The sequence below is a fragment of the Homo sapiens genome, chromosome 6, assembly GCF_000001405.40.
Source record: "Homo sapiens chromosome 6, GRCh38.p14 Primary Assembly".
In the NCBI taxonomy this organism is placed as follows: Eukaryota; Metazoa; Chordata; class Mammalia; order Primates; family Hominidae; genus Homo; species Homo sapiens.
This window is the reverse complement of record NC_000006.12, coordinates 116,662,636-116,688,345: the sequence shown is the minus strand read 5'-3', so window position 1 is coordinate 116,688,345 and position 25,710 is coordinate 116,662,636. Positions and strand designations below refer to the sequence as shown.

General features: G+C 40.8%; 2 protein-coding genes across 16 annotated transcripts in view, besides 4 other annotated features; one reads left to right on the top strand and one right to left on the bottom strand.

Annotated features, from left to right (window-relative positions):
• The window catches only part of KPNA5 (karyopherin subunit alpha 5), a 60,657-nt gene extending 53,522 nt beyond the window's left edge, over window positions 1-7,135 (bottom strand). For 4 of the 8 annotated variants that reach the window (NM_001366306.2, NM_002269.3, NM_001366308.1 and 1 more), the window contains exon 1: window positions 7,008-7,135. In NM_001366306.2, the coding sequence (NP_001353235.1) occupies window positions 7,008-7,011 (4 nt within the window). In that variant the 5' untranslated portion in view covers window positions 7,012-7,135. Of the gene's footprint in view, window positions 1-6,793; window positions 6,900-7,007 lie in introns of all 8 variants that reach the window. The other 4 variants (NM_001366305.2, NM_001366304.1, NM_001366309.2 and 1 more) reach the window with 2 other exon arrangements.
• Window positions 5,573-6,554: an enhancer, noted in NCBI's record as "NANOG-H3K27ac-H3K4me1 hESC enhancer chr6:117002955-117003936 (GRCh37/hg19 assembly coordinates)". NCBI's record gives its function as "activates a minimal SCP1, AML or CMV promoter by ChIP-STARR-seq in naive H9 embryonic stem cells {active_cell/tissue: H9 hESC(naive)}" and the evidence as "EXISTENCE:reporter gene assay evidence [ECO:0000049][PMID:30033119]".
• Window positions 6,555-7,538: an enhancer, noted in NCBI's record as "NANOG-H3K27ac-H3K4me1 hESC enhancer chr6:117001971-117002954 (GRCh37/hg19 assembly coordinates)". NCBI's record gives its function as "activates a minimal SCP1, AML or CMV promoter by ChIP-STARR-seq in naive H9 embryonic stem cells {active_cell/tissue: H9 hESC(naive)}" and the evidence as "EXISTENCE:reporter gene assay evidence [ECO:0000049][PMID:30033119]".
• Window positions 19,556-19,745: an enhancer, noted in NCBI's record as "active region_24999". NCBI's record gives its function as "activates an Ori minimal core promoter by ATAC-STARR-seq in GM12878 lymphoblastoid cells {active_cell/tissue: GM12878}" and the evidence as "EXISTENCE:reporter gene assay evidence [ECO:0000049][PMID:35858748]".
• Window positions 19,580-25,710, top strand: part of ZUP1 (zinc finger containing ubiquitin peptidase 1) — a 33,149-nt gene continuing 27,018 nt past the window's right edge. For 5 of the 8 annotated variants that reach the window (NR_154587.2, NR_154586.2, NR_154588.2 and 2 more), the window contains exons 1-2: window positions 19,580-19,780; window positions 21,139-21,712. Coding sequence is in view for 3 of the 8 variants with exons in the window: in NM_145062.3 (NP_659499.2) it covers window positions 21,154-21,712 (559 nt within the window). In the remaining 5 variants the exon portion in view is untranslated. Of the gene's footprint in view, window positions 20,202-21,138; window positions 21,713-25,710 lie in introns of all 8 variants that reach the window. The other 3 variants (NM_001361190.2, NM_001361189.2, NM_001361191.2) reach the window with 3 other exon arrangements.
• Window positions 20,507-20,656: a silencer, noted in NCBI's record as "silent region_17497". NCBI's record gives its function as "represses an Ori minimal core promoter by ATAC-STARR-seq in GM12878 lymphoblastoid cells {active_cell/tissue: GM12878}" and the evidence as "EXISTENCE:reporter gene assay evidence [ECO:0000049][PMID:35858748]".

Below are 25,710 nucleotides of genomic sequence, written 5' to 3'. Positions count from 1 at the left end.
TGTGACCAATTAGCTTATGAAGTAAACACAAGAGAAGGAGAGGCTGGCATCTGTCTGCCATCCCTGATATTGAAGAGACAGACTAATGAATTGGCAAATTTTATTGTAAGGAGTACACTAAAATACATGCTTTAAATCTTGAGAGAGCAGTGAAGATATGGCAACTAATTGTGCCTTAGGGACTTCTGAAAGCTTCATGGGTATCCTATTTTAAAGGAAAAACAGGAAAGAGAAATGGGGAGAATCAAGCATTTCAAGCAGAAGGAATATATGCAAAGGCAAAGTTTTTGAAGAAGCCTTGCATAACCAAGAACAGTAAGAGACTAAGTGTGTCCAAAATGAGGATGCATGGCAGAACATAAAGCTATAAAGGTAGGTTAGAGGACATATGGTTCCTATAATGCAGCTGTGAAATTTGGACTTGATCCTAAGGAATAGAATTAAACAAATTAAGGAAAAGGTTGTTTTTACATAGTTCAGAGAGAGAGATAGGAAAGATGCTGAAGGCGTGAACTAAACAAGTTACTACAATGAAAACATAGAAGACAAGTTGGATTCTAGAAATATTTCTGAAATTGATTCAGTAAAAATTAGAGGCCAAATGAATGTAACAGATATCTGGTGAGGAAGAAAAGGGAGTTGAGGATGACTCCATGGTTTTTAACTGAGCCATCTGAGTAGTATGGCAAGATAACATAAGACAGAGAATACGGATGGAGGATCAGAGTAGTGGTTGTTGTGTTTACATATCGGCTTGTTTCTGAGACAAGAATAATGAATTCCGTTATTTTAGGTTTATTTTTAAATTTATATTTAGTAAAAATCACTCTTTTCGTATACATTTCTATGAATTTAACAAATATACATGCATGTAACTATCACAATCAAGACACAGAACAGTTGTCACCCCCTAAAACTCCCTCAAGCTGCTCCTATTAGCCCTCCCTGACCCTTAACATCTGGTAAAAAGTTAATTCTCCATCCCTATAGTTCTGCCTTTTCCTGAATTTCAGAAAAGTGGATTCATACAGCATGTAGTCTTTTAAATCTGACTTCCCAGAAAAAGTATAAAATACCTCAAAATATAGCCAGCCAAGGAGGTGAAAGACCTCTAGAGTGAGAATTACAAAACGCTGCTAAAAGAAATCAGAGATGACACAAACGAATGGAAAAACATTCCATGCTTGTGGATAGGAAGAATCAATATCGTGAAAATGGACATACTGGCCAAAGCAATTTACAGATTCAACACTATTCCTATCAAATTGCCAATGACATTCTTCACAGAACTAGAAAAAACTATTTTCAAATTCATATGGAACCAAAAAAGAGACTGAATAGCCAAGGCAAACCTAAGCAAAAAGAACAAAGTTGGAGGCATCATATTACCTGACTTCAATCTGTACTACAGGGCTACAGTAACCAAAACAGCAGGGTACTGGTACAAAAACAGACACATAGACCAATGAAACAAAATAGCCCATAAATAAGGCCACACACCTACAACCATCTGATCTTTGACAAAACTGACAAAAGGAAGCAATTGGGAAAGGACTCCCTATTCAATAAATGGTGCTGGGATAACAGGCTAGCTACATGCAGAAGATTGAAACTGGACCCCTTCCATATACAAAATAACTCGAGATGGATTAAAGACTTAAATGTAAAACCCAAAACTATAAAAACTCTGGAAGACAACCTAGGCAATATCATTCTGGCCACAGGAATAGTCAGAGATTTCATCACGAAGGGGCTATTGCAACAAAAGCAAAAATTGACAAATGGGATCTAATTAAACTTAAGAGCTCCTGCACAGCAAAAGAATCTGTCAACAGAGTAAAAGACAACCTACAGAATGGGAGAAAATTGTTGCAAACTATGCATCTGATAAAGGTCTAATATCCAGCATCTATAAGAAACTTAAACAAATTTACAAGAAAAATACAAACAACCCCATTAAAAAGTGAGCAAAGGACATGAACAGACACTTTTCAAAGGACATACATGCAGCCAAGAAGCATATGAAAAAAAGGTTAACATCACTGATCATTAGAGAAATGCAAATCAAAACCAGAATAAAATACCATCTCACACCAGTCAGAATGGCTATTATTAAAAGGTCAAAATGAGCCAGGTATGGTGGCTCACACCTGTAATCCCAGCACTTCGGGAGGCAGAGGCGGGAGGCAGAGCCAGGAGGATTGCTTGAGCTCAGGAGTTCAAGACCAGCCTGGGCCACACAATGAGACCCTGTCTCAACAAAATATCAAAACATTACCCAGGCATGGTGGCACGTGACTATAGTCTCAGCTACTCAGAAGGCTGAGGTGGAAGAATCACTTAAGCCCAAAGGTCAAGGCTACATTGGCCATGACCACACCACTGCACTCCAGCCCGGGCAACAGTGAGACCATGTCTCAAAAAGGAAAAGAAAAAAAGTCAAAAAACAAATGTAAATTAGTTCAATCACTGTGGAAAGCAGTGTGGCAATTCCTCAAAGAGCTAAAAATAGAACTACCATTTGGCCCAGCAATTCCATTACTGGGTGTATATCCAGAGGGATATAAATCATTCTACCATAAAAACATGTGCACACAAATGTTCAGTGCAGCAGTTTTTACAATAGGAAAGACATGGAATCAACCTAAATGCCCATCAGTAACAGACTGGATAAAGAAAATGTGGTACATAAACACCATGAAATACTATGCAGCCACAAAAAAGAATGTGATCATGTCTTCTGTGGGAACATGAATGGAGCTAGAGGACATTATCCTTAGCAAACTAATGCAGGAAAAGAAAAACAAATACCACATGTTCTTACTTATAAGTGGGAGCTAAATGAGGAGAACACATGGACACAAAGAAGGGAACAACAGACACTGGGGGCCTACCGGAGGGTGGAGGGTAGGAGGAGGGAGAGATGCAGAAAAAATAACTATTGGGTACTAGGCTTAGTACCTGGGTGACAAAATAATCTGTACAACACCCATGACACGAGTTTACCTATACAACAAGCTTGCACATGTGCCCCTGAGCCTAAAGGTAAAATAAACAACAACAACAAAACCAACAAAATAAATCCGGCTTCTTTCATTTAGCACGGTATTTGAGTCGTCCACATTGTTGGCATCTATCAACTCTCCTTTCTTATTGCTGTTATTCCACTGTAGGGACAGATCACGGTTTATCAGTTTTCCAGTTAAAGAACATCTGGGTGGTTTCTAGTTTTTGGAGGTTATGAATAAATGTGCTACAGACATTTATGTAAAGGTGTTTGTGTAAACATAAGTTTTCATTTCACTCAGTAAATATCTAGGAGTAGAACTGACGGATAATACGGCAAGTTTATGTTTCACTTTATAAGAAACTGCCAAACTTCTTTCCAAAGTGAGTATTCCATCTTGCATTCCCATCAGTAATGTATGAGAGTTCCAGTTGCTTTGCATCCTGTCTCCATTTGATGATTTAAGGGGTTTTGTCGTTGCTGTTGCTAGTCATAGCCATTCTAATAAGTGTATAGTGACTCTGGTTTTAAACATGGTAAATGTGTAGTACTTGGTGCACATGTAGGAGGCTTTGATCTGTAGATGGTTGAAAATACGGATCAGAACTCAGGACAGGGATCTGGAGTGATCATTTGCTATCATGTAGAGCTACAGAAGAAGGATGACCAAAGGAGAAATCTTGGGGACCATCATATTTTAGCAGAAAAAGGCAAGAGCAAAAGAAACCAAAAAGAAGTAGGTCAGAGAAGTAGAAGAATAAGGAAGAAATTAAGAGTCCTGCAAAGGAAAGGAGTTCAAAAGATAAAGGAATATTTAAGTTGTAGTACCACTGAAAACAGGCCACTCGGTTTATTCATTCATTGATTCATCCAGAAAATAAAAGTGCCTGTAATAATCCAAGTACCATATCAGGCATCAGATTTGGTAATTATGTCACTGGTAAAGATAGTGAGACAAATCTCACTACTGGTGGAGCTCAAGGTAGAAGGGAAGGGGCTGAGGACTTGAGAATGATTGAAAAGAAATGCATGATTAATTTACCAAAATTCCTCCTTTAAAATATTTAATAGATTCAGCAATACTATGTGCACCTACAAATAGATATCATTAGAAACTGCTCAATATGGCCGGGCGGGGTAGCTCACACCTGTAAACCTAGCACTTTAGAAGGCCAAGGAGAGTCGATCGCTTGAGGTCAGGAGTTCAAGACCGGCCTGGCCAATATAGTGAAACCCTGTCTCTACTGAAAATACAAAAATCAGCTGGGCATGCTGGTAGAAGCCTGTAATCCCAGCTACTCTGGAGGCTGAGGCAGGAGAATTGCTTGAACTCGGGAGGCAGAGGTTGCAGTGAGCCAAGATCGCTCCAGCCTGGACTCCAGCCTGGGAGACAGAGCAAGACTCTGTCAAAAAAAAAAAAAAAAAAAAAAAAAAAAAAAAAAGGCCGGGCACGGTGGCTCACGCCTGTAATCCCAGCACTTTGGGAGGCCGAGGCAGGTGGATCACAAGGTCAGGAGATCGAGACCATTTTGGCTAACACAGTGAAACCCCATCTCTATTAAAAATACAAAAAATTAGCCGGGCGTGGTGGTGGGCACCTGTAGTCCCAGCTACTCAGGAGGCTGAGGCAGGAGACCCCGGGAGGGAGACTCCTGGCATGAACCCCGGGAGGCGGAACTTGCAGTGAGCCAAGATCATGCCACTGCACTCCAGCCTGGGCCACAGAGTGAGACTCCATCTCAAAAAAAAATAATAAATAAAAGAGGGAAACCGCTCAACATAACTTTACTAATAACAATGTTTGGTATTATTCTCTATTTTATATCTATAAAAAGCTAGACTCTTGAAAGGAAAAAATTAGAGATCAGAGTTCATTACAGTGCAAACTGACCACAGTATTAGTTGTTGAATTACGCTCAATATATATAAAATATTTAAGTAAAATAAAATGCTCATGGAAATAAAACTCTTAAAGTATTTATCACCTATATATGTAGCATATTCTAGGCCACTGGCTCTAAACGTTTTCAATCACACATCCTACATTCGTAAAATACATTTGTGCATTCATCCTCAATATATTTATTTCTATACATGCATTACTATTCTAATATACTACTCTAGCATAAAATTCACAAAAAACAGAAATTTTTAAGAATGAAAGTTTTAAAAGGTAAACAAATAGAAGTTCTAATATTTTCTTACCACATCTGACTGGATCACCTTGTGCCCCACCACGCACACATACAAAGGCGCTACTTATGAGACCATTAATCCAAGCAACCACATTGTAACTGTTCAGCATAAATTTTAGCCAAATAAAATACAGCACCAACAACTCAGATATCACTTGTTCCTTTTTCTTCAATAGTACTGACTTCCGGCTTCAGATTTAACACTGCATCCATCCTCACTGCAGTTGCTTTAAAGGGGACAATAAACCAAGGGAAATTATCTCTAAAGGGGCCCCATCCAATGGGATTGTTTCGTTCACTGAAAAATAAATTTAAAGGCTGCACTTCAAAGGCTGAGGTCTCATAAAAATTAAATATTTTTATTTAGAAATGTTATTCCAGCACTTTAAAGTTACAGAATAGAGGAATTTTTTTCATTCATAAGCTTTCAACGGCTCTTAGAAAAACCATGTTTAAGTTGGGCAAATAACTGGAATCTGAACTTATGATTTTCTTTAATATCAATCGACATTATTTCTTATGCCAGTAAAGCCTTCATTTCCATGGGGCTGGGCGCCTCATTAGTGAAAGTAAAAGACTGCACAAAGCGGGGGAAGTGCCAACTAGAGAGCCCTCACAACCAAACAAGCAGTACTTAGGTCGGAGGGAGAGAGTTGCTCCTGACCTACCAAGAAAACCACTTTTGTACAGAATATGAGTCATCATTATTGGGTGTTGTAATTGAGAGATAAATCATTAGTGTTTTTGTCTTTTTTAAAAAACATGTCTAAAAAGCTCAAAAGTAAATGCCAGTGTCATATTCTTTTGTTTGTTTTTTGAGACAGAGTCTCGCTCTGTCGCCCGGGCTGGAGTGCAATGGCGCTCTCGGCTCACTGCAAGCTCCGCCGCCCGGGTTCACACCGTTCTCCTGCTTCAGCCTCCCGAGTCGCTGGGACTACAGGCGCCCACCACCATGCCAGGCTAATTTTTCCTTTTTTTGTATTTTTGGTATTTTTTTTGTATTTATTATTTTGTATTTTATTTTGTATTTTTTGTATTTTTGGTAGAGACGAGGTTTCACCGTGTTAGCCAGGATGGTCTCGATCTCCTGACCTCGTGATCCGCCCGCCTCCGCCTCCCAAAGTGCTGGGATTACAGGCGTGAGCCACCGCGCCCGCCGCCAATGTCATATTCTTTAGACATATCACTGTCATTTCACAGCTTTCAAATACTTCCATCTCCTATGTATTATCGATGAAAACCTAAGTTTTCATCTTAGAACGGAGCTGCCCGACTATTAGAAGCGTGGAACCCAGGCTTGCCTTGTCGTCGGGAATGAGCACTAGAGGCACCTGCACGCAGGTGGAGGAGGGAGGCTGGCGGATGGAGAGGGCGAGGCTAGGAGGCCCTCGGGATGGAACCTGTCTCTTCTTTGGACACTGTGGAATTTCCATAAGCTGCTGGACACAGCTGATGGGTACCAGGTATGAGTGGCAACGTTTGGCAATTCCATTAACTGAAAAGAACTACCGAGAAACGGTGAGGCGGGGCGGCGAAGATGAGACCAGCTGCCCATCACTCCAGAGGACCTGCTGAAAGAATCTGAACTCACCACGCCTTCGCGTCCGCAAGGGAAAGGTCCGGCTGCCACGCCCCCGCGACCGCTGTCGCCCTGGGGAAAACACGAGAAACACCCGGCACCGCCAGGTTCCAGAGACCTTCGCAAAGTAAGGGGTAAATAAAAACCGTGGCCCCAGGAACTAGTAGTTCCCAAAGGGACCAAAACCGAGGCTCCCCCAACCTAGCCCGTGTTCACTCCAACTTACCCATTAATGTGGCACTCTCCGATGCCCTGATTTCCCAGTCCCCAGCGGCGACGTGTGTGGCGGGTAACAGAAGGGCCGCCACTCCGCCCCTGGCGTGAAGCGTAGCGACCCAGTTCGCAATCCAAGATGGCGGCCACCTGCGCCCCTTCTCCGAGACCCCGAGGCTCGGCTCCCAGAAGCCCTTGCACTCGACGCGGCGGCGGCGGCGGCGGCGGCGGCGGCGGCGGAGGAGGAGTGGTGGCCGCACATCCTAGCAGTGGGGCGTAGAGAAAGTGCGCGCCGCCGTCCCACCCACCGAAGGAGGAGCCTGTGCCTGCGACAAGCCCTGGATTTTAGTTGCGCTTGCGGTGGCCATGCTGTAGGTACTCTGCGGCCCGTAGACCTCCGTGTGTGCAAAGGGACGACCCCTCATTCATTCATTCTTCACGCGTGCGTGCATGCATACATTCTTAAGGATATAAACTGTGTCAAGTACCATTTTAGATACATTATTGGGGCTACAACAGTGCAAAAAAGTTGGTAAAAATCGCAGCCTTGTTAAGTGTACGGAGAAGCTCACGTTTTCTTCAGCTTCATTAACTTTTATATGCTCTGCTCGTTTTATTTCAAGCTTTTTGTCATTTATAATTTTATATTCTATAACATCTGCGGTTTTTTGTTTTTGTTTTTCTGTTTTTGGGGGGTTTTTTTTGAGACGGAGTCTGGCGCTGTCACCAGGCTGGAGTGCAGTGATGCGATCTCGGCTCACTGCAACCTCCGCCTCCCAGGTTCAAGCGATTCTCCTGCCTCAGCCTCCCAAGTAGCTGGGACTACAGGCATGCGCCACCACGCCCAGCTAATTTTTGTATTTTTAGTAGAGACCAGGTTTCACCGTGTTGGCCAGGATGGTCTTGATCTCTTGACCTCCTGATCCGCCCGCCTCAGCCTCCCAAAGTGTTGGGATTACAGGCATGAGCCACCACACCCAGCCACATGAGTGTATTTTTGACAGCAATGTAGTCACCAATAAACGAGTAACTTCAGTTAAAGTACTGTAGATTATAATACACAGCCCTGTAATCTACCCTGGAGTTCAACAAACGGTATTGAAAACAGACTGTGTTCCAGATGCAATAGGAAGAGAATAAATAAGATAAACAATACATAAATCCTGCCCAGAAGACGTTTGCAATTTTTTAAGAGGAAAAACATGAAGACAAATTGTTTTAAGATGTTTGCTATTTTCAATAGTTGAAAAATAAACAGGAGAGAAGGGATTATTTAACTGTGGGTATGTAGGGCTGAGAAAGGCACGCTTGACAAAGGAAACCTGGGCAGTGTTACCAGAAAGCGTTGCCAATCATGAGTCCATATAGTGAAGTGAAAGCAAGTTTATTAAAGAAGTAAAGAAACAAAAGAATGGCTACTCCATAGGCAGAGCAGTGGCTTGGGCTGCTGGACTGAGTATATAGTTTTTTTGTGTGTTGTTTGTTTGTTTTGACACGGAGTCTTGCTCTGTCGCCCAGGCTGGAGTGCAGTGGCGCCATCTCGGCTCACTGCAAGCTCCGCCTCCCGGGTTCACGCCATTCTCCTGCCTCAGCCTCCCGAGTAGCTGGAAATTTATTGTATTTTTAGTAGAGACAGGGTTTCACCGTGTTAGCCAGGATGGTCTCAATCTACTGACCTGGTGATCCTCCTGGCTCGGCCTCCCAAAGTGCTGGGATTACAGGCGTGAGCCACCGCGCCCAGCCAGTTATTTCTTAATTATATGTTAAACAAGGGGTGGATTATTCATGAGTTTTCAAGGAAGGGGGCAGGCAATTTTTGGAACTTAGGGTTCTACCCTCTTTTAGACTGTATGACTTCTGGATGTTGCCATGGCATTTGTAAACTGTCATGGTGCTGGTGGGAGTGTCTTTTAGCATGCTAATGCATTATAATTCACGTATAATGAGAAGTGAGGATGACCAGAGGTCACTTTTGTCTTCATCTTGGTTTTGGTGGGTTTGGCCTGTCTTCTTTACGACATCCTGTTTATCAGCAGGGTCTTTGTGACCTGTATCTTGCGTGGACCTCCAATCTTCTGTGACTAAGAATGCCTAACCTCCTGGGAATGCAGCTCAGTAGGTCTCAGCCTCGTTTTACCCAGCACCTGTTCAAGTTGGAGTCACTCTGGTTCAAACGCCTCTGACAACAGGACTATTGGAGTACTGATAGGAGTTTATTTGCCTTAATCACCTGGCCACCCTATCCCTTTCTTATTTCCTCCCTACTCCTCCGTCCTGGGAGACTGAATTCAAATAGACAATGGCCAGAGAATATATACAAATAGAACACTAACCTACAACCTTCAACAACCAGTCCAGGAAGGCAACCTACTATGTCCAGTAACCAGTCCAAGAAATCAGATTACTATATTTAGCAACCAGTCCAGGAAGCCAAGCAATAACCCTTGTAGCAATCTACCCCAAATGGCCAGGACGTGATTAATAACTTACAGCTTCTGTAAGTTTTGTCAGGGCTTCCAACTCAAGGCCAGCTAGAGAGAGCCAAATATCTACCCACCCCTAAATAATTACATAGGATGCCCTGCTTTTAGTTAGCCCACCTGCAGCTTCTCCATGCCAACAGCCTTGAATTGGCATACCTGAAGCTTTCCCTTTTTTCCACTCTAAAGCTTTCTCACTCCTCTGCCTGCCGTTGAGTCTCTGACAAATGCAAGTGATGATGGCTGACTCCCTTGCTATTGTAAGCTCCAAATAAATTTGGCTTTGCTTGTTCTCATTTAGATGGTCTGCACTTGTTTCTATACTCCTGAAGAAGATTCCTGCTATCTGGACATGCCTTCCCTCTGGATAGATATGGCAGAAGAGATGATAATGGTGTCTTTTAGACCTCTGCTCAGCAGGGTCTAGGTCCCGGCTTTTCATATCCAGGAAAGAACTGGAGGAATAGGATTGGTATCAAGATGCTGACTTCATTAGTTGTATGCAATGCCAACCACAGCAACTTCCTACCAAGACCTGACCTTCTATGGCATCTTTCCCAATCTGCCTGTCAAAATAAAATCCACTTCTCAGTGGTCCTTTTATCCCAAAAGCTGCTGCCTCAACAGTAGAGAGCGTATTGCCCTATTAGCTTACCTCCTCCACAAGCCATGATGGAAAAGAAAGGGTTCTAACCCATTGGCTCACCAATTTCTTTTTACTTAAGCAGATGCTATGGTCTGAATATGTTTGTCCCTCTCAAATTCATGTGTTGAAACCTAACCCTCAAAGTGATGGTACTAAGAAGTGGGGCCTTTGAGAGGTGATTACATCATGGGGATGGAGTTCTAATGATGGGATTAGTGCTCTTGTAAAACAAGGTCAAAGGAAATGCCTTGCCTATCCACTATGTGAGTGTAGAGGTACTGTCTATGAGGAAGCCGGCTATCATCAGACACTAAATTTGTCTGAGCCTTGATCTTGGACTTCTGGCCTCCAAAACTGTGAGGAATACAGATGATCCTCAACTTACAATGGGGTTATTTCCCAACAAACCCATCAGTAAGTTGAAAAATATTGTAAGTCAAAAATGCATTTAATACACCTAACCTATTGAGCCTTATAGCTTATCCTAGACTACTGTAAACATAGTCATAACACTTAGGCTACAATTGGGCAAAGTCATGTAACACAAAGCCTATGTCAGAATAAAGTTATAAAGAATTTTTGAATCAAAATTCAAAATTTGAAGTATGGTTTATTATTAATGTGTATCACTTTTGCACCATTGTAAAGTTGGAATGTCATAGGTCAAACCATCATAAGTCGGGGACTGTCTGTAAATGTTTACTGTTTATAAGTCAACCCATTTTTGGTATTTTTGTTATGGCAGCCCAAATGGAATAAGGAAGCAGGTAAGTTATCAAAGTAAGAACATACTTCTTCTGAGATCCTGTTGATCACTGCAAAATTAAAATTTGATATACTTAACTTTACAATGACAACATGAGATAGGGGACACTGAGGCACAGATGAATGTGTAAGTAAACTTTCCACTGTCACAGGGCTAGTAAGAAGTAGCTGTGATTCGTACCTAAGTAGTTTATCTTAATGAGAACTAGATTAAGACTCAAAGTTATCAGTAGCAGGATCATATAATTTGTGTTAACCAGGACATTTTTGATAGTGGAATGGGGTACTAATAGTAACTTTTTTGGGATGACTGTCCTGGGCAAACTGGGACACATGACCATCCTAATTGTTGAAGTTGTAAATTATTGTTAAATTTCCCTCACTTCTGTAGCACAAGTCATTCCACACAACAGCATGTATCCTTGCTGCTATCGATAGGTCTGATCCAGGATGTGGGGACAGAGTGACTTTATTTGAAATGCTAATCTGCCATTAGCATTTCTGACTAACCCCAAGTCCAGGAATGCTCCCAAAATGTCTAGTTGATGTATTACTCTTTAAGTAGGAACACCTATTCACCGTAAGTTTCCTCCAAAACAATCCTTGATGCTGCTACAGAAATCACAGGCTGTGACACCTGTAGCCACCTAAACATTCCTTCCAGAGTACGTATATTTTCCCTAAGATATAAGCCCTGGGTTTAGAGAGTTAGCCCTGGGTTTAGTGGTATGGAGATCTACCTGTCTTGCGGCCACCCAAGACCACGCTTCTGTCTGTAAGTTCCCCTAATAAATCACCCAAGACCAATTAACTTGATTTTTCTGCCTTTTTGGGTTCTTGGCTCCTTCAACATTTGGCAGTTGCTTTGCATATACAGCCCTTTCACGGAACACAGGGAAACAGACTGAGATTCAAGATTTGCCACCTGATATTTATTGCAGAGTGCTCTTTGGGAATAATAACAGGAGTGAGGAAGCAGGATTCTACAGAGAGATAAATTATGTTGCATTATTAGCAACAGAGACTTCAGACAATCTTATAGGAAGTGCAGAAGCTGGGATGGCCCTTCAGAATTGTCACTGTTGAGGCTAGAGGCTCATGTTTCTATCACTGAATCAAGAAGTCTTTGGATATCACTGAATCAAATCCAGAGAGGAGGGTTAATCTTGGGTGAGGCAGCAGCTCCCTTTGACCAGAGTGCAGTTTCTGAAGTGGAACTTGGCCTAGAGCCCTCATCATTGGGGGAAGAAAATCCTTTAGTCCTGAACCAGAACTTGGGCAGTGTACCAAAGGTTCTACCACACATACTTTTTCAGTTTTCCAAAGATAAAGAAATGAATGGCCTTCTTTCAGCTTCATGCCTCTTCTTTCTCATCCTCCTTATTTAGTCTTCCTCCTTTAAGCAACCTATAAATGTTGGCGCCAGGCCTCTTACTTTGCTGCATTGCCTCTCTAGGTGATACAACATACTCCTGTATTTTTAAAAGCCATCTACCTATAAACCACTTTCTCCCAAATTCAAATTTCCATCCCTGACCTCTTCCTGGAGGTCTAAACTCATATATCAAACCTCCATTTGGATGTCTGATGGGCATCTCAAATTTAATAAGCCAAAACAGATTTTTTTATTCTATCCCATTCCACTTTATTTCTTTCTCAGGCCTCTTTATCTCTGTAATGATACAACTACGCAGCCAGAAACTCCAGTTAAAAAACTTATGAATCATTCTTTACCTTGCCCTTACCAGTGCCTCCTGTCTTTCGCTTCTAGCTCCAAAATAGTCCACATCTACACCTAGTCCATCTCTACTGACACTTCTTCTAGCATTCCATCATTTATTTCATAAACTGCAGTAGTATCCTAATTAAGCAATCTGTATCTACCTTGACTCCTTTATAATCTATTCCCTGTCCAGAAGGTGTAGTAATTTACAATTAAATTTTTATTTATTGTAATCAAATAATACAAATATATCATTTAAAGGGTCCAATAATAAGTTTATCGTGAAAATTAACACTTCCCACCTGACCATCCCCAGATGCCGCTCCCCAGAAGCTACTATTTTCAACTTGTTTAGGTATTCTTATTGGTATCTCTTTTCTAATTAAATATTTTAAAATCATACACTGCTATTTCTTAATTTGTAAAGTCATAGACATTTTCTATTGTTATAGATGTAAAATGAGAATTTATTACTCATAACTGCACTAACCTCCCAACATACACATTTACACATACTTCCTGATCGCACATCCTCCAATATAGTTCTATCAAAATTATTTTGGTTAAATCAATATTTAAATTTTTATGTAAAAATTACATTCCTTGTATAGTTTTTTATTGTTCTAAAATTAATTGCCTGTTTTCTGTCATTATCATTTGCTTAATTTTCTAACTACTCATCACTAACTCATCTTCAAACACACTGCTGGAGATCTGTATTAGTTTCCTGTTGCTGCTCTAACCAATTACCACAAACTTGCTGACTTAAAATAACATAAATGTATTATCTTACACTTTTAGAGGTCAGAAGTCCAAAATGGGTCTCACTGGGCTAAAATCAAGGTGTCAGCAAAGTTGTGTTTCTTCTGGAGCCTATAGGGGAGAATCCATTTCCTTGCCTTTTCCAGTTCCTTGAAGCTACCTACATTCCTTGGCTTCTGGACCCCTTTCAGCAATTACATCTCTCTGACCTCTGTTTCTGTTATCGCATCTCCTTTTCTAAGACTGACCTTCCTATCTGTCTCCCTCTCATGAGGACCCTTGTGATTACATTGTGCCTACCTAGATAAACCCCTCTTGTCAAGATCCTTAATCACATCTACAAATTCCTTTTGCCATGAAAAGTAAGATATTCACAGGTTCTGTTAATAAGGAAATAGAATCTTTTAAAAAAATTTAATATTAGAGACGGGGGGGGCGGGTCTCACTATGTTGGCCAGGCTAGTCACCAACTCCTAGCCTTAAACAATCCTCCCACCTTGGCCTTTCAAAGTGCTGGGATTACACGTGTGAGCCACCATGCCTGGCCAGGACATAAACATCTTTGAGGGACACTATTCTGCTTAACAGAATATATTTCTCTCAGTATGGTCATAAACATGAAGTGATCTGTCAGTTGCCTCTTTCCTCCCTCCCTCCCTTTCTTTTTCTTCCTTTCTGCCTTCATTCCTGTCTGTTCTCTCTCATCTTGGTAGAGTTTTTTATGGAATTCCATACGTTCTACTTTCTTTTTTTCTTTTCTTTTCTTTTCTTTTCTTTTTTTTTTTTTTTTTTTTTTGAGATGGGGTCTCAATCTGTCACCCAGGCTAGAGTGCAGTGGTGTGATCTCGGATCACTGCAACCTCTGCCTTCTGGGCTCAAATGATCCTCCAACCTCAGCCTCCTCAGTAACTAGGACCACAGGCACACGTCACCACGTCCGGATAATTTTTTGTATTTTTGGTAGTGACGGGGTTTCACCATATTGCCCAGGCTGGTCTCAAACTCCTAAGCTCAAGCAATCCGCCTGCCTCGGCCTCCCAAAGTGCTAGGATTACAGGTGTGAGCCACCATGCCCGGCCCCATACCTTCCACTTTCTTTGCTTCTTCCCTCATTTTGGTGGGAGCTTCCTGGGAAATAATAAGAAATAATGTTTCAGGAGAAATTATTATTAAGTCATGAATTATCATGTCATTTCATTGATAACTAATTTTCCATTGTTTTTGTTGTTATTCCTCTCTGTATCTCTTATTAGTTGGATGTAGAATCCAATTTCTCATTTGATTATTTTCCTTTCCTGTTTTTCTATCCCTTGTTCTTTTTGTTCTGTTTTCTGAGAAATTTCTTGGGCTTTATCTTCCAGGCCTCTATTAATATGTGTATTTTAAAGTATGAAATATTTTTAATCCCAACAGCTATTTCCTATTTTGGATTTAGAGATTCAATACATTTTCTTATCTATCTGAGGATATTAATTGTGGTTTCCATTGAAATTTTTTTCTCTTTCTTTTTTTCTTCAGAGCTTACTTTTTAAACTATGATTATTGTTTAGCTCTCCATCTTACTTGCCATAGGCTGTACTCAAATGCCTGGAACCCTTGAGTATCTATTCATATTTAAGAATAAGACATTAAAGAAACCTTCTATACACTGTGCGTCAGTGGGGCTTGTTTATTCACCAATTGGCAGCCTTCCCACAGAGTGGTAAAATAGGGACCTGGCTGTATCATTGGATAACTTCCTAAAAGTTGACATCTGTTAGGTCTTTCTCTTGGGACAATTGATTTCTCTGGGGAGGAATTTTCCAACCTCCTGCCTTGGAGGCAGAAATCACATATCAAGATGTGATGGGGGAAAAGGAGCAAGAGGTTCATAATTTAGTATTTAGCCTTCCCTATTTCCCATTTTCAGTCCAGTGCCTTTACCCTAAGGATAGGGTCAAGCCTTTGAACCCCCAGGATAGGGTTCATAGCTGGTTTTTTTGGTTCGTTTTCTTCATGAACTAAATCTGTAGTCTTCTATCTGGAAGGGAAAGAGGAGTCTCATGGCAACCTAGCTGTATTAGAGTTCTTCAGAGAGACATAACCAATACTATATACGAGAGGCAATTTATTAGGGAATTGACACATGATCACAGAGGTGGAAGTCCCACAATAGGCCATCTTGCAAGCTAGAGCACCAGAGAAACTGGTAATGTGGCTCAGTCCCAGCAGCCTCAGAACCAGGGAAGCAGAGGGTTTGGCCCCCACTCTGAGGCTAAAAGCCCAAGAGTTCCTGGGAAGCCACTCGTGCGAATCCCAGTGTCTAAAAGATGAATATGGTGCAATCTGATGTCCAAAAGCAGGAAGGAAAAAGGTGTCTTGTTCCAGAAGGGAGAGAGCAAAGAGAGAGAATTCCCTCTCTTTCCTGTTTGCCCCAGCCTAGCCCTCAGCTGACTGTATGGTGCTTGCCACACTGAGGGTAGGTCTTCCTCTCTCAGTCCACTGACTCACAGGTCAATCTCCTCTGGAAACACCCTCACAGATACAGCTAGAAACAATGCTTCACCAGCCATCTAGGCATCCCTCAATTCAGTCAAGTTGGTAGTGACGGGGTTTCACCATATTGCCCAGGCTGGTCTCAAACTCCTGAGCTCAAGCAATCTGTCTGCCTCGGCTTCCCAAAGTGTAGGATTACAGGTGTGAGCCACCATGCCTGGCCCCATACCTTCCACTTTCTTTGCTTCTTCCCTCATTTGGCGGGAGCTTCCTGGGAAATAATAAGAAATAATGTTTCAGGAGAAATTAACCATCACACTGGTGATGGAGAAAATCTAGAGTTGGAGTTCTAACTGTTCCTTATTCAGACTTTCAGTAAAATGATCCTTTATTTAGTTCCAAATGTCACCATCATTTTTAGAAGTATCTTGTGTTTAATTTCTGGAATTTTCAGATTTCTGGGAAGGAGGAGTGTATTAAGATGGAGTAGGGACCCTACTTAGGGGCCCGTGGGCAACCCCCAAGCATGGAAATAAAGGAAAATATTGAGTTCCTTCAAGGAAAATTCCAGGAACCTAGCTAGCGCTGAGAAATAAATGAGCAATTTGATAAACAAAAAGGTAATAGTAGCTTAAAACATTGGCCCAAAAAAGTCAGGAGATGTTTTATTCCCTATAGAAACTTAAGATAACATTTTAACATATGTCCCTGGGTTGTTTTCCAGAAACCCAGATCCCCCACCAAACAGATCTACTGTCCAACATGATTTGACCCCTGATAATGGGAAACTGAAGACTAAATCCTGATCGCTGTTCTTTGTTCTGAATTTCTTCCTGAGGGGCCTGGAGGAGATCACACCCCTGAGCGAGAGCTAATATTCTTTTCTGCTGATCCCAAATTTTTAGACAAAGCTTTGCCTCCTTAGCAAATCAAACGTCAGAAAATCTTTGAATCCACCTGTAACCTGTGCCCCGAACCACTTCAAGATGTCCAGCCTTTTAAAATCAAACCAACGTATAGCTTCCGTGTATTGATTTATGACGTCGCCTGTAACCTCTGCCTCCTCACCTTTAAAAACTCTTACCTGTAAGCAATGTGGGAGTTCAGGTCTTAAGCATGAGCTACTCAATTCTCCTTCCTTGGTGCCCTACAATAAATGCCTCAACTTTCTCTTGCTGCTATCCCAGTGTCAGTGTTTGGCTGTGCTGTGCTGGGCAAGCAGACCCCAGCTGCTGTGCTGGGCAAGCAGAAACCCATACAAGTCAAGACAGTATGACTTGACTTGGTTTTTGTTGACATCGGTTCTGAGTTAAGTTCGTTATTAATCATTCATCTTTTTTTAGCTTTCAAAGTTTTGTAAAATCTCATTAGCTGTTAGTAGTATTATTTTTATTTTCCTGCTATCATTTTAATAGATTTTGAGAGGCAGAGAAATATAAATTTACATGTTTAATCTTCCATGTTTGTCCACAAATTTCCAGAACGATTTTTTTTTTTGAGACAGGTTCTCATTCTGTCGCCCAGATTGGAGTGCAATGGTGCCATTATGGCTCACTGCAGCCTCAACCTCCTGGGGCTCAGGTGATCCTCCCACCTCAGTCTCCCGAGTAGCTAGAATTACAGGCCACATCACCACGCCCAGCTAATTTTTGTATTTTTTTGGTTGAGACGGGTTTCTCCATGTTGCCCAGGCTGGTCTGGAATTCCTGGGCTCATGCGATCTGCCCGCCTCTGCCTCCCAAAGTGTTGGGATTACAGGCGTGAGCCACCGCGCCTAGCCAATTTTTAAAAACATACTATTTATCATCAGATAACATCACCCTCCTATTTAAATACCTCACTAGTTTTCTACCAGGTCCTACATGATTTGGCCCCTGTCTACAACCCTAACCTCATCTTGTAATCATTTTTCTCCTTACCACATTATGCTCTGGTCAAAAAGTGTTCTTTTTGCTCCAGCCTTAGGCCTTCGTTCTTGTTATTTTATCTGTCTGAAATGCTATTTCCCCTGTTGGTGTAAGGTTTGTTCATCAGCACACTCAACCCTTCATCAAGACCTTTTCTAAACATTCGTATCTCTATAATCCAGTTTTCTTTTCTTTCTTTCTTTCTTTTTTTTTTTTTTTTTTTGAGACTCAGTCTCAAAAATCTATTGCTCTGTCACTCAGGCTGGAGTGTAGTGGCACGATCTCAGCTCGCTGCAACCTACGCCTCCCGGGTTCAAGCAATTCTCCTGCCTCAGCCTCCCGAGTAGCTGGGATTACAGGCACCTGCCACCACGCCCAGCTAATTTTTGTATTTCTAGTAGAGACGGGCTTTCACCATGTTGGCCAGGCTGGTCTTGAACTCCTGACCTCAAATGATCTGCCCGCCTCGGCCTCCCAAAGTGCTGGGATTACATATGTGAGCCACTGAGCCTGGCCAATCCAGTTTTATTTTCTTCATAGCACTTATCATGATCAGTTAATTTACTTTTTATTTCCTCTACCTCACCAGCATGTAAGCCTCAAAAATCCTGAATTTTGTGTATTTTGATTACTGCTGCAGCTCCTGTTGCAAGCAAAACGCCTTTCTAATAGACACTCTTTAAATATTTGTTGAATGAAATAAAGCCTGAATGACAAGATATTTGTGATTTTGGGCTAACATGGTGGCTCACACTTTGGGAGGCCGAGATGGGAGGATCATTTGAGGCCAGGAGTTCGAGGCTGCGGTGAGCTATTTTAGCCACTGTGCTCTGGCCTGGGTGACAGAAAGAGTCCTCCTCTCTAAAAATACATACATACGGCCGGGCACGGTGGCTCACGCTTGTAATCCCAGCACTTTGGGAGGCCGAGGGGGGCGGATCACGAGGTCAGGAGATCGAGACCATCCGGGATAACACGGTGAAACCCCATCTCTACTAAAAATACAAAAAATTAGTCAGACGTGGTGGCGGGCGCCTGTAGTCCCAGCTACTTGGGAGGCTGAGGCAGGAGAATGGCGTGAACCCGGGAGGCGGAGCTTGCAGTGAGCAGAGATGGCACCACTGCACTCCAGCCTGGGCGACAGAGCAAGACTCCGTCTCAAAAAATATATATATATACATACATACATACATACAAACCAAGATATTTGTTATCTTGTAACCTTGAGGAAAGAACCTGGTATCCTTTACCTTCGGTGCATAGCTGGGAGCTTGATACCTAGCAGCATTATAAACCCTTTATTGATACTAAAATAGAGTGCTACTCAGCAGGCCCTAGTGTAGACTGCTATTTGCCCCAGGACCTGCCCTGTGAACTCATTCAGATTAAGTATGAATGACCTCAGAGCCCGGTTTTCTCTCCTAGCAATTGAGTGGCAGGAAACTCGATGGGAGAAGGAAAAACTCGGAAATGGGAGGAATGCAAAAATGACTACATCTCTCAGGAGATCGAGACCATCCTGGCTAACACGGTGAAACCCCGTCTCTACTAAAAATACAAAAAATTAGCCAGGCATGGTGGCGGGCGCCTGTAGTCCCAGCTACTCGGGAGGCTGAGGCAGGAGAATGGCGTGAACCCGGGAGGCGGAGCTTGCAGTGAGCCGAGATCGCGCACTGCCCTCCAGCCTGGGCAGCAGAGCGAGACTCCGTCTCAAAAAAAAAAAAAAAAAAAAAAGACTACATCTCCCAGAATGCACTGCATAGAGACCGGCGTGGAGCGGCGCATTCTGGGATTACTTCTTTTCCGTGGGAGTAAGGAAGTGCTTTTGAATGAGGTACTGAGGGCCAAGGTGTTGGAAGTTCCTAATTCTTTCCTCGGTTAACTGTGAAACTCTGCGTATTGGGAAGGCCTGGCCTCAGTCATCAGGCCAGGAGAGGTACTGGACGCCGCGCACGCACTCGTCTGCCAGCGAGGCCCAAAGGGGAAGCCTAGCGGAGCTCAGTGTGGCAGCTGCTGGCCTCTGGGCCGGTAAGAATTGATGGTCCCCTCCCTTATTCCCCAGGCCCAAAGCTTTGACCCAGTTAGTGCCTGCTAGTTTCGTGTGCCTGGCTTGTGCCTTTGGCGCGGAACGTTTGGGAGACTCGGCCTTGCGGTCTTCTGACCTCACCCACCACGTACCTAGCTTGGCACTGGGTCCTTCATGCCTCTCACTCGCTTCCTCTGAGGCACCTGGGTACTCTCTTGTCTCTTACCCGCTTAATCTGAGTCCATGTCCAAGTTCATCATTCTGTGTCTGACCGTGTCCCAGCCACCGGAAGAGAAGAAACTCCGGGTGTGACATTAATCCCACTGGGGGCTCGGGAGAACTGCCTTCTAAAATCAGAGACTGTATCCATTTGTCTGGAGAGAAATGAAAAAAATAAGGACAATGTAGGGAGGTATTTTAAAGGTAAATTTATTTAAATGAAGTGATAGTGTCATTACTTTTCCTGTTTGATTTTAAATAGTCTTTAGCTGAACGATGACCTGTAGTAGGAAGGTGGTGGCGAAGTGATTGCTTTTTTTAAAATTATTTTTTTAACACTTTTATGTCAGTAGTCAGTACTTTATTTGTCCATAAAATCCAAAAATAACTACCTTTGGATTTTACAGTAGTCTTTGACTGAACCTCAGAGAGATGAGATTCCTTACCCAAAATGATGAATCTGAAATTATTACCCAGTTCTCTTGACTCTGGAATAAGTGCTTTTTTCTACTATACCACTTCTGCTTTTATTCTTGGGGCTGAGAGTACAGGCTGTGGAGCACGACGGGGTTGGCATTTTGGCTTCCACCTTTTTCTGCTTGTGGTGACCTGTCTGAGCCAGAATTTCTTTATGTGTAGAGCGATAATAATAGTACTTAAATTACAATAATAGCACTTAAATAGCACTTGATACATGTAAGACTCTAAGTTTACAGTGTTAAACTCTACTTGTAAGATGTGTTTATTTACCTCCTCAATATAATCAGCTTCAGTATTCAGTATTTAGATATATCAGTTGATAAATAGGTTTCTTCTCTTCATTTTTTTCTTACCTGATTTATCTTACCTGGACAATTTTTTAAACGTTATTTTTTCTCCACCTTGGGCCAGAGACATTTTTTGAAATATTTTATTTTTAAAATTACTTGTATTCATTATTATTGCCTTTTTTTAAAAAAAAATAAATGAAATTTTGGTTGATATTTATAAATAAGTTTTTGTATTTGAGGAACAGTAAGTACATTGAAAACTTCTTCATCAAAATAATCCAGCGTTAAAGACCAAGTAATTGTCTCAAATCATTTTATGAAACACATTTTTTCTTCAAATCTTTGAAACCTAATGTTATGTTCTTTTCTAGCTACTTGTCAATACCATGCTTTCCTGTAATATTTGTGGTGAAACAGTAACCTCAGAACCAGACATGAAAGCTCACCTAATTGTTCACATGGAAAGTGAAATTATATGTCCATTTTGCAAGTTGTCAGGTGTGAATTATGATGAAATGTGTTTTCATATCGAAACAGCTCATTTTGAGCAGAATACACTTGAAAGAAACTTTGAGAGGATAAATACAGTACAATATGGAACTTCAGATAACAAGAAAGACAACACCCTACAGTGTGGAATGGAAGTTAATTCAAGTATTCTTTCAGGTTGTGCATCTAATCATCCAAAAAATTCAGCTCAAAACCTGACTAAAGATAGTACTTTAAAACATGAAGGCTTCTATTCAGAGAACTTAACTGAATCTAGAAAATTCCTGAAAAGTAGGGAAAAACAGTCCAGCCTGACCGAAATAAAAGGATCTGTTTATGAAACAACATACAGTCCTCCTGAATGTCCATTCTGTGGAAAAATAGAGGAGCACAGTGAAGATATGGAAACTCATGTGAAAACAAAGCATGCCAATCTTTTAGACATTCCATTGGAAGGTAAAGTTTTCATTTCATTATAAATTATAAGTTTACAGCCTCAATTTAATATGTGGTATTTTAAAAGTTGGTTTGTAAGTCAGCTTACTACAGATGTGTTTTGAAATCCATTTTATGTCTATAACATTTTTCATTTGCTGTTACTGAAATATAAAAGTACATTATGGAAAAGAATTTTAATGCAGATATAAAATGTTTCAGCTACATTGAGAGTAGTTTTGGAACTTTCTGTCTAGTTTCCAGAGGGTATTCTTTTTATTGTCACTAACCCAGTAGCATCTGGACTGTCCTGGACTCTCTGACTTTGCATTGAGTTCTATTTTGACTCCATTATTCTGTTATGATTGGAGAACAAACTCTCTGTGATATCAGTTCTTTTAAATTTGTTGAGGCCTGTTTTATGGCTCAAGACACGAGCTATCTTGGTCATGTTCTGTGGATACTTGGGAAAAAAAAGTGTATTCTGCTTTGTTGGGTGGAATGTTATATGTATGTCACTAGATCCTGTTGTTTATGTTCAGATTATTTATATCCTTGCTTGTTTTCTATAGTAGTACTGTCTAGTAGTTCTATCAATTTTTGAGAAGGGGTTGTTGAAATCCCTGATTATAATTGTAAATTTATCTATTTTTCCTTTCAGCTCTGTCAGGTTTTGTTTCATGTATTTTGAGACTCTATTGTTGGTGTGTACACATTTAGGATCTTATGTCTTTTTCTTATTGTTGAACTTTAAGAATTTGTGGAGCCAGGTGTTGTGGCTCATGCCTGTAATCCCAGCAAGTTGAGAGTCCGAGGTGGGCAGATCCCTTGAGTCCAGGAGTTCGAGACGATCCTGGGCAATGTGGCAAAAGCTCGTCTCTTCAAAAAAAAAAAAAAAAACCAAAAAACTAGCCAGGCCTAGTGGCTTGCGTCTGTAGCCCCAGCTATTTGGGAGGCTGAAATAGGAGGATCACCTGAGCCTGGGAAGTGGACGCTGCAGTGAGCCATGATCACACTACTGCACTCCGCACTCCACTCTGGGTGACTGAATAAGACCCTGTCTCCAAAAAAAAAAAAAAAAAAAAGAAAAATTTTTCTGTATTTTGGATACAAGTTCTTTTTTGGATGTGTATTTTGCAGATATTTTCTCTTAGTCTGTGGCTTGTCTTTTTATTCTTTTAACAGTGTCTTTCATGAAGTAGAAGTTTTTAATTTTAATGAAGTGCAACTTGACAATTTCTTCTTTCATGGATCATGCTTTTGGTGTGTCTAAAAACTCTTTGCCAACTTCTAGAAGTTTGATAGTTTTGTATTTTACATTTAGATCTGTGATACATTTGAATTACTCTATGTAAAAGGTATGAAGTCAGTGTCTACATTCTTTTTTAATGCATTTCTCTGATTATGAAATCAATCTTTTTTTGTATAGTTATTTTAATTTCCTCTATTATGAACTGCATATTACATTTTTTGTACACTTGAGTTACATGCATTTTTCAACTGTATATTGTCAAATATTTTTTGAGTTTTTTTCAGTTGCTTTTAAAATATATTTTCAATACTAATCCTTCAGCTGTATTCCATAAGATGTTGCTTATCCTTGAATTTTGTGCAGTATTTGAATTTTATTTTTGTTTTCTATGTATTGTCTAAAAAAGTATTCTTTACTCTGAATTCAAAAAGCTATTCTCATATATTCTAAAAACTTTAATGTTTTATATTTTCACTTTTTAAAATTTTTTCTGGATTGTGTGTGTGTGTGTGTGTGTGTGTGTCTGTACTTGTGTACATGTGTATATTTTGTGAACTTGGGATCTAATTTTTAGTTTTTCCCTGTACAGAAACCAGATATATCTCTGATTTATAATATGGTTTCTGTTTTTTATTACATTTTCATATCTGTGTGGGCCAGTTTCTGGTCTCTTACTTCTGCTGTATTTATCTATGTGACTTTTGTTCCCTTATTACACCACCACTTTAATAGCTATTTTGTAAAATGTCATCAACATCAGATAGGACAGTTTTTCCCTCGTTCTTCATTTTCATCATCAACTTAGACCTTCTCATTCTTTCTTTTCTTTGAGTTTTAAAGCCATATTATCAAGTTTCATAAAAACTCTGTTGTCATTTTGTTTTAAATTAGATCAAAGTACATCTCCCCATTAATTCAGGTCATCTTTTGTATCCTTTAATACAATTTTGTGTGTGTGTGTTTTTTTTTTTTTTGATGGACTTTTGCCCTGTCACCCAGGCTGGAGTGTAATGGCACGATCTCTGCTCACTGCAACCTCTGCCTCCCAGGTTCAAGCAATTCTCCTGTCTCAGCCTCCCAAGTAGCTGGGATTACCACTGCCCACCACCAGGCCCAGTTAATTTTTGTACTTTTAGTAGAGACAGGGTTTCGCCATGTTGGCCAGGCTGGTCTGGAACTCCTAACCTCAGATGATCCACCTACCTCAGCCCCCCAAAATGCTGGGATTACAGGCGTAAGCCACCGCGCCCAGGCTTGTGTTGTTTTTTCATTGCACATTTGTGTTAGCTTTATTTCTGTATAGTTTATATTTTCTGTTGCTTTTGTAAATTAGATTTTTTTCCCTCTCATCTAAGAAACTTTTGCAGTTTTATAGAAACACTATCAATTTTTATAGATAGTTGAGGTATCTAGTCTTATTCAACTATTACTAATATTATTTTATTTTATATTTTTTGAGACAAGGTCTTACTATGTCACCCAGGCTGGAGTTCAGTGGCATGATCATGGCTCACTGCAGCCTTGATCTCCTGGGCTCAAGTGGTTCTCCTGCCTCAGCCTCCCAAGGGGCTGGGACTACAGGCCTGCACCACCACGCCCAGCTAATTTTTTTTTTTTAATATTTAATAGAAATGAGGTCCTGCTATGTTACTCAGGCTGGTCTTGAACTCCTGTGCTCAAGCAGTCTTCCTTCCTCAGCCTCCCAAAGCATTAGGATTGCAGGTGGGAGCCACTGCGTCTGGCCTGTTAACGAATTTTAATAATTCTACATTAATTCCCTTGAGTATTCTAAGTAGATCATTTTATTATCTGCTAATAATGAAAATTTATGGACTGCTGCAAGGAAAAAAAACAAGTGTATTGAAAAATGCCTGACAATCCTTTGCTGACACAACATTTCCTGTAAGTTTCTCAGGACCAGTAAACTGGTGAATTTTGGTAGTCTTAGGAGTCTGAATGTTTAGTTGCGGTTAAAAAAGACCTGTTGTCATTAGAAGTACAGAAGTGAAATAGGTAAATAGCTAGATTTAACCAATGTTCAGTTATAGTAAATGGAACAGGTGGATTTGCAGGTGTTTTTAAGGGAATGATTATCATATAGAGAAGATATGTGGAATCTGGGCTGGAAAGTAAAGAAAAACATGAGGGGGGTAATGAATGACAGAAAAATAGGGTTTGTATATTCTATATAGGAGGTTTTAGTTAGGTCAAACACTTTTTAGAGTGGTAGAATTAAAAGAAGTGAGGTAGAAGGATAGGTGTTTGGGAGTGATATTTGAAATTGAGATTTCAGAGATTCACTTAGTGATAAATTAAGGGTATAATTTTTGTCATTCGGTTGGTAAATTAGGGTAAAGGAAAAGATTGTTGGAAATGAAGGCATAGAACTATTTCTATGGATATTGAAGTTGCTAAGAATGATCATAGTATAGGGGCTAGGAAAAGAAGGTTTTGATCCAGGTGTTAACATTTTTAGTAAATGAAAGGAGTGTCTAAGACTTCAGAAAATATTAGGCACTAAGAAAGGTAGATGATGCCATATTATGGTGACATGAGTTATTACAAAAATGGGGCTTAAAACAGGTTTGACAGTGGTGAAAGGGAGCAAAGGGGATGCCTCTTCTACTTCTAGGGCCCTGAATTGTGAAAGAAAAGTTGCCTGTGTGTTAGGGGGCTGTAGAGAAAATGGGGTGTCATGAACCAACCAGATTTTAGTTAAGTCAAGAAGGTGAAGTGAATATCCAGAGAAAGATTTTGTGTATAGAGA